Source organism: Homo sapiens, chromosome 15 (genome assembly GCF_000001405.40).
Source record: "Homo sapiens chromosome 15, GRCh38.p14 Primary Assembly".
Lineage (NCBI taxonomy): Eukaryota > Metazoa > Chordata > Mammalia > Primates > Hominidae > Homo > Homo sapiens.
In genome coordinates, this window is record NC_000015.10 from 49,601,437 (window position 1) to 49,615,270 (window position 13,834).

The window sequence follows — 13,834 nt, forward strand, 5'->3', positions numbered from 1 at the left end:
TTTCACTATTTACATTTTAAATATATTGTGTATCCATTATCAAATTATTGTAATAATTTAATTTTAATTTTTGTGGGTGCATGGTAGGTATATATATTTATGGGGTATATGAGAGGTTTTGATATAGGCATGCAATGCATAATAATCACGTCATGAAAAATGGGGTAACCATCCCCTCAAGCATTTATCCTATGTGTCACAAATAATCCAATTATACTCTTTTAGTTATTTTAAATGTACAATTCAATCATTATTGACTACACTCACCTTATTGTGCTATCAATACTTGGTCTTACTCATTTTTTCTAACTAACATTTTTGTACCTATTAACCATCCCCATCTCCCCACAATCCTCCCACTCCTTTTCCCAGTTTCTGGTAACCCTCCTTCTGCTCTCTATTTCCATGAGTTCAATTGTTTTGATTTTCAGAACCCAAAAATAAGTGAGAAATGCAATGTTTGTCTTTCTGTGCCTGGCTTATTTCACTCAACATAAAAATTTTCAGTTCCATCTATGTTGTGTGGATAACAGGATCTCCCACTTTTTTATGGCTGAATAGTACTCCATGTGTAAAGGTACCACATTCTCTTTATACATTCATCAGCTCATGGACACTTAAGATTGCTTCCTAATCTTAGCTATTGTGAACAGTGCTGCAACAAACCTGGGAGTGCAGATATCTCTTTGACATACTGATTTTTTTTCTCTGGGGTATACACTCAGCAGTGGGACTGCTAGATTGTATGGTAGCTCTATCTTTAGATTTTTGAGGAACCTTCAAATTGTTCACTGTAGTGGTTGTACTAACTTACATCCCCACCAACAGTGTATGAGGGTTCCCTTTTCTCCACATCCTCACTAGCATTTGTTATTGCCTGTCTTTTGGATATAAGCCATTTTAACTGGGGTGAGATTGTATGTCACTATAGTTTAGATTTGCATTTCTCTGATGATCAGTGATGTTGAGCACCTTTTCATATGACTGTTTGCCATTTGTATGTCTCCTTTTGAGAAATGTCTATTCAAATATTTCGCCCATTTGTTAATCAGATTATTAGTTTTCCTATAGAGTTGCTTAAGCTCCTTATATATTCTGGTTATTAATCATCCCTTATCAGATGAGTAATTTGCAAGTATTTCCTCCCATTCTATGGGCTGTCTCTTCACTTTACTGGTGGTCTCCTTTGCTGGTCAGAAGCTTTTTAGCTTGATGTGATCCCATTTGTCCATGTTTGCTTTGGTTGCCTGTGCTTGTGGCATATTGCTCAAGAAATCTTTGCCCAGACCAATGTGCTGGAGAGTTTTCCCAGTGTTTTCTTGTAGTAGTTTCATAGTTTGAGATCCTAAATTTAAGTCTTTAATCCCTTTTGATTTGATTTTTGTATATGGAAAGAGATAGGGGTCTAGTTTCATTCTTCTGCATATGGATATCCAGTTTTCCCAGCACCATTTATTGAAGAAACTGTCCTTTATTCAATGTATGTACTTAGCACCTTTGTTGAAAATGAGTTCACTGCAGGTGTGTGGATTGGTTTCTGGGTTCTCTTATTTTGTTCCATGGGTGTATATGTGTTTTTATGCCAGTACCATGCTGTTTTGGTTAACGCAGCTTGTAGTATAATTTGAAGTCAGGTAATGTGATTCCTCTTGTTTTACTCTTTTGCTTAGAATAGCTTTGGCTATTCTGGGTCTTTTGCGGTTTCATATAAATTTTAGGATTTTCTTTTCTATTTCTGTGAAGAATGTCGCTGGTATTTTGATAGGGATTGCATTACATCTGTAAATTGCTTTGGGTAGTTTGGACATTTTAACAATATTGATTATTCCAATCCATAAACATGGACTATCTTTCCATGTTTTGGTGACCTCTTAAATTTCCTTCATGATAGTTTTCATTGCAGAGATATTTCACTTCTTTGGTTAACTTGATTCCTTAGGTATTTCATTTATTTTTGGCTACTATACATGGGATTACTTTTTAATTTCTTTTTCAGATTTTTCTCTCTTGGCATATAGAAATGCTGATTTTTGTATGTTGTTTTGTATCCTGCAAGCTTACTGAATTTTTTTACCAGTTCTAGAGGGTTTTTTGATGAAGTCTTTAGGTTTTTCCAAATATAAGATCGTATCATCTGCAAACAAGGAGAATTTGACTTTTTCCTTTCCAACTTAGATGCCATTTATTTCTTTCTTTTGTCTGATTGCTCTACCTAGGACTTCCAGTACTATGGTTGAATAATAGCAGTGAAAGTTAGAATAATAGTGGTGAAAGTGGGCATCCTTGTTGTGTTCCTGATCTTACAGGAAAGGCATTCAGCTCTTCTCCATTCAGTGTGTTACTAGCTGTGGGTCTGTCATATATAGCTTTTATTATGTTAAAGTATATTCCTTCTATATCCAGTTTTTTGAGGATTTTTATCTTGAAGGAATGTTGGATTTTATTAAATGCTTTTTCAGCATCAGCGGAAATCATATGGGTTTTGTCCTTCATTCTGTTGATATGACATATCACGCTGACTGATTTGTGTATGTTGAACCATCCCTGCATCCCTGGAATAAATCCCACTTGGCCATGATGAATGATACTTTTAATGTTTTGTTGAATTCAGTTTGATGTATAGTTATTTTAAATATTTTTGCCTTTTAACTCTTATAATAGAGTTAAAAGTAATTTACATACTACCAATACACTATTACAGTATTCTGATTTTGACTATATTCTTACGTTTATGGTGAGTTCTATACTTTAATGTTTTTATATTGTTAGTGTTCTTCATTTGAACTTGAAGAACTCCCTTTAGCATCTAGTGGTGATAAACTCCCAACACTTTTTCCATGTGTGCAAAACTTGTTATCTTGACTTCCATTTTTGAAGGAGAGCCTTGCCAGGTTATCAAATTCTTTGTTGGCAGTTTTTTTTTCAACACTTCGTTATCATCCCACTCTCTCCTGGATTTCAAGGTATCTGCTGATAAATCTGCTTATAATCTTATAACTGTATATAATAAATAACTTTCTTCTTGCTGCTTTCAAAATTATCTCATCTTTGACTTTTGAGAATTTCATTATAATGTATCTTGGGGAAGATTTCTTCTTTGTCTTAATCTATCTGGAGTTTTTTGGGCTTCATGGATCCTGCTGTTTATTTTGCTCTCTCAATTTAGGAATATTTCTATCATTCTTTCTTTAAATAAGCTTTCTACCCTTTTCTCTTTCTCTTCTCCTTCTGGAATTCCTATTATGTATATATGTTTCACTTGACAATGTCCCATGTCTCATAGGCTTTATTCACTATTTTTCATTCTATGTTTTTGTTCCTCTGACAGCAGTTTCAAATGATCTGTTTTTGAGTACCCCTATTCTTTCTTCTGCTTGATCACATCTGCTGTTGAAGCTTTCTATGGAATTTTTTGGTTTAATCATTATGTTCTTCAGCTCCCAGAATTTCTGTGTGTGGATTTTTCATGATTTTTTATCTCTTTTATAAGCCTCTACTTTTGTTCCTTTATTGTTTTCCTGATTTTCTTTGTGTTCTCTTGTTTACTAAGCTTCTTGAAGATGATATTTTTAAGTCTTCATCAGGCAGTTTGTAGATCTCTATTTTTTTAGGTAACTGATGCTTCTATTTGTTACTTTGGTGATGTCATGTTTCCCTGACTGCCTTGTTTTGATGTCTGCACATCTGAAGAACAGGCGCCTCTTCTGGGGGCTGGCTTCAGCACAAAAGCCCTTCACCTGTCAGCCCACCCAGAAAATGTAGGCAGGCCAGCTGGTGGGGTCCATGGACTTCCTGTTGGAATTGTCAGGTAAGCTGACTTGGTATCTGGTTCAGTATGTGGGCAGGCCTGTTACCTGAGCCCACAGTGGCTAGCCTTGTAGTTTGGTTTATGGGGTTGGGCCTCTGGGTTCCCTTAGGTGGTATTACCTCTTGGGTCCACCGGAGTGGTCCTGAGTCCTAGGCTCAAGGGATGTTGACCTGGCACAGCAGTCCACTGGGTGCAGCCTGTACACTTAATCTGTGGAGGCAGGACTGAAGCCTGGGTCCACAGGGGCCAACCTGACACTGAAGTGGGGGTTGGCCTGGTGCTGGGGTGGGCCTCGAATCTGTTTTGGGGGATATCCTGGTTCCTGGACTTGTGGGGTTTGGCTTTAAGCCTAGGTCTCAGGAGCAGTCCTGGAGCCTGGGTCCATGGGCTGGCCTGGTGCTGGGGTCTACTTGTGCAGACCTGGTCCTGAGTACACTGGAGTGGACCTGAAGTCTGACTGCCCTGGAGCCTGCCTCCCCTGGAAATGGCCTGGAGCCTGCAGCAGCCTGGTGCTGGAGTGGGCCTGGAGCCTGGGTCCTCATGTGGTAGCCTAAAATCAAAAATCCAAGGGGCTGGCATGGAGCTGGAGTTTGAGTCTGAGAGGGATAGCCTGGGGCTGTGGGAGCTATCCTGCCACTGGAGTGGACTTGGAGACTGGGTCTACAGGTGCTGGCCTGGAGCTTGGGGCTGTGGAGGGTGGGCTTGCACAGTCCTCTTGCTGCGGTCCACGGCAAAGTTATGTGCTCACTTCATTCTCCTTTCCCTTTCCCACATGAAAGGTATCTCTCTCCACACTGTTCTGCCCTTGCTTGGTAACTTGAAAATGTCCTTCCTAACCTCTTCAAGGTATCTTTTCTTATTTCTGTGCCACGCCTAGGACTCCCATATAGTGAAGACTAGTAATATCTCACCTGGATTCCTTAGCTCTTGTAAAGGTATTTTTCTTGCAAGGATAGTTGTTCAAATTGATATTTCTGCAAAGGGATAAAGGTTATTTTGCCATCTTGCTGGAGTCATTTCTCCTAAGTATTTTTTTTTTTACTTTTATATATTCAAAGCCATGAGTTCACACTGATGCCTCTAATTCCAATTCTAACCATTCTAGTTTTCTCTCTTTCCGTATTATAATTGCCATCCCTAACAATTAAAAACCTAGCTACCATTATCTTTAATATATTTACTTATTTGATCAATCCTTTTATGTAACCAATCTCTCATATTTGCTCCCAGACTCTTCCTTACGTGGATATCCTTTTCATACTACTTGGGCTCTAATATCGCATGTTAGGTTGCCAATTCTGTGAGGACATCCTCCTTACCCCCACTTGATCTCTGACCTCCCACATCAGAGTGAAGGCTACCTTCCTCTTCTCCCTTTATGTGTGAATATCATCATCATTCCCTTGGATTCTGATACCTGTGGTGTCACATGGACATCCTCCTCACCATTGTTGGGCTCAGAAATCTTGCTCTGGGCCACCAAGCAAACCCTTCTTTCTCAATGTGGAAGCCTGCCTTGTTTTGGCCACCAGATGGCTTTAATACTAAATTGTTTAGGAAAGGAAGCAGATGGAATGAAAAGGAAACAAGGGAAATGAAGAGAAGAAGGGAAGTGGAACCACAACATTAATATTTGCAAATCTAAATACAAGATCTTTTAATATAACCAAATAATAGCAAAACAAAGAAAGTTAGTCAACATAATTAAAAGTTTATGAATAAGAGAATACTTTTTGGGATGGTGGGAGACTTGTGTAGGATGAAACTCTGCAATGGAGTTTGGGTAAAATACACTGGGGCCTTAGCTTAAGGGGAAGAAATCTGAGGTCTGCAGATCAGAAATTTCAAACCCACCTTGGTCTGTTCCATCTCCTTTTTTCTTCCTTTAAAAGCAATCCTAAACTCATCATACATTTGTTCATTTATTAACTGTGCTAATAGTAAGATATGAAAATAATACCCAGTGCTTAACACTGCAAAACTTTTCCAAAAAGGTCCCCCTGTCATTTTGAAAAAAAGAGTGCTATATAAATACGTTAAGTGCCCTCTTCCAAATCCTGTAAATGTGTATCTTAAATAAGACGCATAGCCACTTGGGAAAGTTTTCCAGCATTGAAATCTGGAAAACTGTGTCAAAAATTTAAAAGATTTTGAAGAATAAGAGAAGGTCACAGGGTAAAATCCCTGAAGACCAACACTGTCAATTTAGAATGGCAGCCACATTTGAAAACACAGTCCTTATGAGTCATGTGTTGCTATTGTTAGGGGAGTTGAGGGAGAAGGAAGAGGCTAAAAGGAATTTGAAAAGATGTTATAATATGTACAAATCTTTATGAAAATGTCTTTATGTCAGTTCTTTATGTCAGACTTGTTATATCACAATCCTTTTCCCCAAGATATTGAAATATTATGAGCTGAATAAAGTTTCCAAAAATTCCATAAGGCTGATGAGACTCTGTCTTCTCTACATCACCAAGGTAATCAAGGGATAGACTGGTGTCCCAAAGTCATTAATATAAAGAAGGTGATTTTTAAATTCTTTTAATTCTTTGTGGCTGTATTATTAAATGGATACCAGATGATTATCTTGGAGTAGATCATATCTTGTAGCAGATCATAATCTATTTTCCCCATCTCATTTCTCTATTACTTTCCTTCCTTATTCCTTTATATTTTGCCTTCAATAAGGTACCTCTTGAATAGAGTGTTATCTAAAAAATAAATTTTGTGGCCAGACCTAAAAAGGCAAATCGAGTCAACTAGCAGCTAACAGGCAGATTAGCTGTCAGGCAGTTCATACTGCCCGAAAGAAAATCAACACTACTACTAGAGTATGAGCATCCAGAGTCTATGGTGATTATATTAATTAAAAGTAAATAAATGTATTCAAATCCCAAAAGAACAAAAGAATTGGACTAGAAGTTTTTGTTCCCTAAGGAGTTAAATTCTACATTATAGCGCTGTGGTCCTTAGTGATAAGTAAGAAGAACATTTACCTTGTTTAAAACAGGGTCAGTGAAGCAAGAATTGGCTATGTATTTGTCATGTTTATTTTAATTATAGCAATTAACTTTGGCAGTGGCAGAAGCACAAATTATTATATGCTAATATAAAACTAGAGATGGAGAAGGGAGAGTAGACAGACAAAAGGGCTCTCGTGGAGTTTAGAGAGGAATTTTTTTTATTGAATATATGGGTAAGTCTTCACCCATGTCCCAAAGCCCAAGAGACAATGCTGAAGTATCAAACAGAAGGTAAGAAATAAGAAGCATGACTAGAATTAGTAAGAAAAGTGACTATTATTTAGCTCTTTTTCCTTTATATTAAGCTTTGATATAAGGATTTAAATGGATTAATGAATAAATAAATGAATAAACAAATAAGCAAATAAATCAGGCTATTCCCTCAAAAAAGAGAATGGGATTGAAATTATTATTTTCTCTATCATAAAATAATTTTGATCCTCTAAGAAAAATCATATCATGGAGTACTCTTCAGACACAGATTACGAATCTAACAGGCCTGTTAACAAAAATTAACATTGATGAACTAAGAAAAGATGAATTAAAGTTCTACCAGATAAAAGTTGCATGGACACAGAAAAAAGGTAATAAGAAATAAATAACATGAAAAATCAAAAGTATAATATATAAATATGGAAGAAATTGGAATCAACACTTTGTACTTGAAGAACCAAAAAGAATTTTTTAAAGTGTGACAGTAAAGAGAGATGAGACAAAAAGGGGGAAGATAATGTAGATTCCTTAAGAGTAGAATCTTTTGTCTTTGTTCATAGCTGTAACTCCAGTGCCCAGAAAAATATCTGGCAAATAGTGGGTAGTGAACGGAAGTAACTAAATGAGTGAATGAATAGGATAAGTAAGAGAGCTGACACTGATACAACAATAGTGGAAAAAGAAGATGTTATAAAAACATAAAAATATTTTTATAAAAATAAAACTAGAAATAGAATTGTGATGGAGTAAAGGGAATGTGGGAAATGATCAATAGAGAAATGAGAGGATAAAAACAATTGAAGATAAAAAGATACACAGAAGTACAACAGGAGATAGGAAGAGGTGAAAGAGAGGAGTAGATGATATAAAATATTAAAATTACCAAAAAAGATAGAAATGGTAGGAACTGGCAAAAAAGAGAGGACTTTAGATGATATGATAAAAGATTAAGTAGAAGACAAGAGAAACAAGTAGCTAACATGTAGGTTGCAAGTACTATTATAATGCTAGTTAACAGCAGAGCTTGGATTAATAACATGATTCAATTCTAAAAGAATAATAGCTCCATAAGGGCAGGCATCTTTGCTTGTTTTTATTCACTGATATATCCTAAGCATCTATGTGCCTGGCACATAGCAGGTGTTCAAAAATATTTCTTAAATGAATTCATGGCAGTCACTACTTTTCTACCATTGTCTATTGGACAAAGACTTTGTATAGCAAACAAAAAATTAAGCATCTAGTCATTTTATTCCTGAATATTTTCAAATATCCAATAGTTTGGCAATGTATAAACATAGTCAAACCATAAAAAATAACTACAGAATATGGGTATTTGGTTGGGAAATTCAGAAAATATGAAAAGATTTACAGAGAAACCTATAAATGACAAAATGATACAGATGGATATGTTGTTTTATCAAATGCTACCTGATAAAACTTGAAGGCTATAAATATAGCCTTTGAATACAAATATAAATATATCCTTTGCATACAAAGATGATACTACTGACATACTATTAATAAGACATGGTTTGATTTGATTTTTATCCTGTATTTAGTGAAGAGCTGGCATAAACCCACTATCTTGATTTGATTGGTATCATTCTCAATTTAAGCAAAGGGATAACATATTTACTACTTCAAATAATTAGAATTTTTTATTTAAAATCCTAGGTCCTCAAACATGTATAATAATACAGTCTCCATTATTTGCTGAATTTAGATTAATTTTAACTTAAAACTTAAAACATTAAAAAGTCCTTAAACATTGTCATTAGGCTGCAGCACATTTGCATCATTATTTAAATCAAAATAGTTACAAAAAGTTTGTTCCAAAAGTATTTCAACATACTTAGATACACCATGTGACTGAAGTAAACTTTTATGACTAAGAATGTTTTCATCTGAGCGCAATCCTTTCCCAAAACATTGAAAGTAAAAAAAAAAAAAAAAAAAAACTTGTCTAAACAAATATAAAAACAGAAGATAGATATTTAAAAGTAGATATTTCTGAAACTACATTGTTAGCAGTTTAATCATAGCAAATACTATTTACATTTAAGCATAAATAAATGTAAATTATTTATATTCCAATCCACTCAAAATACAAACATATCTAATTAAAAAGCCACCTTTTTTCTGTTTTCTATACTGACATCTTTCTTCTGGCCCTTACTTGACATTCCTCAATGCAAAACAAATATGACCTTCACACTTGCAGATGCATGGATCCAAGGGAAGACTTAGCAAGTCCAATAACCCCAGGCGAAGTCAGTAATTTTGCATAACAATGGAAACTGAACTTTTAACATGAAAACACATTTTGAATTTTTCACTCTGATTCAATAATCAAGGAATATTGATGTAACACCTCTACAGATTACCTGTCTCAGGTGTGGTGCATAAATAAATGAGATAAGTAAGCATAACTGTTGGATATTCTTTAAGGTGTAAATACATAAGACAAAAATCTTACAATAACAAAAGTATATAGAAATGTCTGTATAGGGCTAGAATTTTTTTAATGTGAAAAAGAGAATAGAATGTTGACAAGAGGGAAGACTACAACATAGAGCCTACTCAAAGGACATAAGTATTTATATACACACTTTCCTCATTGAAACATATTTCTGAAATTTCTAGTCTTAAAGTTTATTCTAAGCCTTCTAAATCTCCATAACTGATATTTTAAAATGATGTAATGGCACATAAAATAAGATGCTTTACTCACCCAATTTTGAAACTTTAAGAATTCTTCAATGCTCTTTGGAGGTTCTTGCATTTTCTAATAAAGTAATATCAACATTGTTCATTGGCATAAACTCACTAGACTGTTCATAATATTTACAAATAATTTACTTAAATAAAATGATACTCTATTTATCATTTTCAGAGCGGTAAGATATCATAAAATGCTCACTTTATACCATCCCTCCACTTTGAAAAGGGACACACATAAATGTTTAAGTTCTTAGCCTCCAAACCAAATTTTGTAATAGGCTTCCCTCTTATACACTAGCCCTAGAGAAAAACTCCACATGAATCTTGCTTTAGGTCCTCATTTCAGATTCCTAAAAGAGTTCCAAGATATTTTGGGCTATCATGGATAGCCTCTATAATAAATCCAGAGCCAAAAATATAATATGTTCTTGCTGATAAAGTATTTTAAAAAGTTAACTAGTTACATAGTTAAAATAAATTTAAATGTTTGGATATTTCAGTCTAATAGATAAAAATCACATTTTTTAGTAGTTTCTTTGTGATTTCAAAATGTATTCAACATTACACAAACTAATTTTAATCCAGACCACAACTTTCTCCTTTTCGCCTTAGAGACTTTGCCTACATTCTTCCTTCTGCCCAGAAGTCTCCCTTTCCCAAACCCTCTTTCAATCCTTTCTTGGCCTATTTAACTCTTACTTCAAATAACAAATTAAAAGTCACTTTGTCCATCAAGCCTTTCTTATCCCCCAAAGTTTTCTCCGTGGTAACATACAGCAGATTATCTCTATGAGGATAGAAACTATGGTGCAATCATGGCTGAATTTTCTTTTTTTTTTTTTTTAATTTGGTATGTTTATTTTGTAGCCGGCCAATTCCTTGGAGAGGCTATTTTTTTTTATTATACTTTAAGTTTTAGGGTACATGTGTACAACGTGCAGGTCTGTTACATATGTATACATGTGCCATGTTGGTGTGCTGCACCCATTAACTCGTCATTTAACATTAGGTATATCTCCTAATGCTATCCCTCCCACCTGTCCCCACCCCACAACAGGCCCCAGTGTGTGATGTTCCCCTTCCTGTGTCCATGTGTTCTCATTGTTCAATTCCCACCTATGAGTGAGAACATGCGGTGTTTGTTTTTTGTCCTTGCGATAGTTTGCTGAGAATGATGGTTTCTACCTTCATCCATGTCCCTACAAAGGACATGAACTCATCATTTTTTATGGCTGCATAGTATTCCATGGTGTATATGTGAATCATGGCTGAATTTTCTAAATTTCACACAGTGGCTGGTTCATAGTCAATGCATAATAAGTACTCGCAGTGTGCATAAATTAAAGCATAAATGAGTAGATGAATGTCAGAAATATATAGGTACTTGAAAAATAATAAAAATACTTCTAGAGAATGAAAATCCAGTGAGAAGGCAAAAATAAGAGGAATTCAGAAGTCTAATATCCTAATATCCATGATGATATCACTGAAAAGATTGTACTACATTTTTATTTATTAAAACACATATTTCATATCAATATATAAAGTGGTCAAGATTACAGAATCACAAGTTCATGTTTTAGAAAAAAATGCTAAAAAATAATTACATATTTGAATTGGGGGATATTTCATTCATCTAAATATATGATGAATATAAGAAAATATATAACTGATAATACAAGAAGAAGATAAAGAGTGTATGTGACAACCATTATAGAAAATGAGTATTTAGTGAGAGTCAAAAAATTAAACAATTGAACTCATGGAGATAGAGATAGAATGATGGTTGCCAGAGGCCGAGAAGGGTAGTGGGAAGTGAGGGGAAAGTGGGTATAGTCAATGGGTACAAAAATATAGGTTAGGGTCAAGCACAGTGGCTCATGCCTATAATACCAGCACACTTTGGGAGGCCAAGACAGGAGGACTGCTTGAGCCCAGGAGTTTGAGACCAGGTTGGGCAACACAGCAAGAGCCAATCTCCATAAAAAATTTTAAAAAAAGGTAAAACAAAACAAAACAAAACAGAGTGGCCAGGCATGGTGGCTCACGCCTGTAATCCCAGCACTTTGGGAGGCCAAGGCAGGTGGATTGCTTGAGGTCAACAGTACAAGAGACCAGCCTGGCCAACACGGTAAAACCCCAGTCTCTTATAAAAATACAAAAAAATTAGCCAGGTGTCCCAGCTACTCGAGAGGCTGAGGTGAGAGAATCGCTTGAACCCCAGAGGCGGAGGTTGCGGTGAGCCAAGATTGTGCCACTACACTCCAGCCTGGGTGACAGAGCGAGACTCTCTCTAAAAAACAAACGGACAAATAAAAACAGCTAGAGAGAATGAATAAGATCTAATATTCGATAGCACAACTGGCTAACTATAGTCAACAATAATTTACTGCACATTTTAAAATAAATAAAAGAGTATAATTGGAATGTCTACAACATAAATAAGTGATAAATGCTTGAAATGATGGATACCCCACTTACTCTGATATAATTATTATATATTGTATGTATCAAAAATTATCTCATGTATGCCATAAATATATATATACTTATGATGTACCCTTAAAAATTAAAAATAAAAATTTGAAAAAGGAAAGCAAATGTTTAGACAGAAGCAAAGATGCATAGAGATGTGAAGAACATGTTATGGGAAACAGGGAACTCTAGAGCTAGTCAAATTGAAAAGAATGAGAGATATGAGAGATGGTGCATGCAAAAGGCTTACAGACAGAAAAATACTCACGATATAATATCTCTAGCTTCATGGGTATAGCAATTTGGCTAGAAGGAACTCACAATACATTTACAAATATACAGAATCAAACTTAATGAAAACAATTTAAGCATTGACTTTTTTTTCTTGTAATGGCTGTCAAACCACTCCAAGTACAAAGCACCAAAAATAATATGCACATTTAAATTAAAGGGAATTAGAAAAGTGAAGAAAGTGAAACTTGCATAGTGAAGTTCTAACTAATTTCAAAAATTCCATGTTTCTTTTGGGGTAAAATTAAAATAAGGTAAGGTATAAATTAAACAGATTTCTACTTTTGGTAGGATGTAGAAGGATATAAAACACCTACACTTCCATGATAATAATAAGACAAACTTGGACAAAAAAAAAATCATATTTTTCTATGGGGTTAGTGAAAAGTGGTGAATGCCAGGAGGCAGGACCAGTTAAATAACTTGTAAACATTCAGAGTTCCTTGTTCAAAATTATTGAGTTTGAAGATAATAACATCAGAGCATTAAACCAAATGCATGTACTTCTCAGCATAAGGCCCTGTGCAACTGCAGAAGTTGTAAACCCATGAAGCTAAAAACAAGCCTAACTGTCCCATAGAACTAATGTTTATGGTTTCTTTAAATAAATATAGAAATTAATCCTTCTAGTCTTAAAACTTGAGAAAGTTACATTGGTCTTATCTGAGTTCCTTTCCCAGAAAACTAACCATCAGGCCTCCCAGATAGTGTCAAGGAACTAAAACATACCAAATCACTATATCTTGACAATTAGCCTCTAGACTCCTCACCATCACCCATCATGATTGCCTAACTGACTACCTGTTTCCTGTTAACCAACTCCTCCTTCTTACCACCACTCCCTAATTTCTGTTTTCCCACACATGGTTACATTTCTTCCTTGCTATATAAAACCCTAATTTTAGTCAGTCAGGGAGATGGATTTGAGACTGATCTCCCATCTCCTCGGCTGCAGCACCCTATTAAAGCTTTCTTCCTTGGCAATACTCATCTCAGTGATTGGCCATCTGTGCAGCGAGCATTAAGACCTAGACCAAACCCTTGGTGTTTCAGTGACAAAGCCAGCTCTACCTGGGAGCCCTGATTACCTGAAATTCCAAGAGAAATATAACCTTTGTAAGTGAACATAAAGCTGTGGAAGCTTCCTTACCCCGGGGCCAGCTCTGCTGCTCCTCCTTTGACATGTTCGTTGGCCTGCCATGGTACAGTAACTTTGCAGAAATGAAGAGAAATCAGCTGGGTCTTAGGCTTCAATGTGAGTTGGGCGACCAAACTGGGGTATGAAAGACACCCAAATGCA

General features: G+C 35.6%; 1 protein-coding gene across 28 annotated transcripts in view; it reads right to left on the reverse strand.

Moving 5' to 3' along the window:
- The window catches only part of FAM227B (family with sequence similarity 227 member B), a 293,849-nt gene that overhangs the window by 274,467 nt on the left and 5,548 nt on the right, over positions 1–13,834 (reverse strand). For 24 of the 28 annotated variants that reach the window (XM_047432224.1, XM_047432222.1, XM_047432221.1 and 21 more), the window contains 2 exons: positions 13,685–13,807; positions 9,779–9,832 (listed from right to left, as the gene is read on the reverse strand). In XM_047432224.1, the coding sequence (XP_047288180.1) occupies positions 9,779–9,832; positions 13,685–13,735 (105 nt within the window). In that variant the 5' untranslated portion in view covers positions 13,736–13,807. Of the gene's footprint in view, positions 1–4,719; positions 4,783–9,778; positions 9,833–13,684; positions 13,808–13,834 lie in introns of those variants that run through there. The other 4 variants (XM_017021996.2, XM_047432223.1, XM_011521322.2 and 1 more) reach the window with 2 other exon arrangements.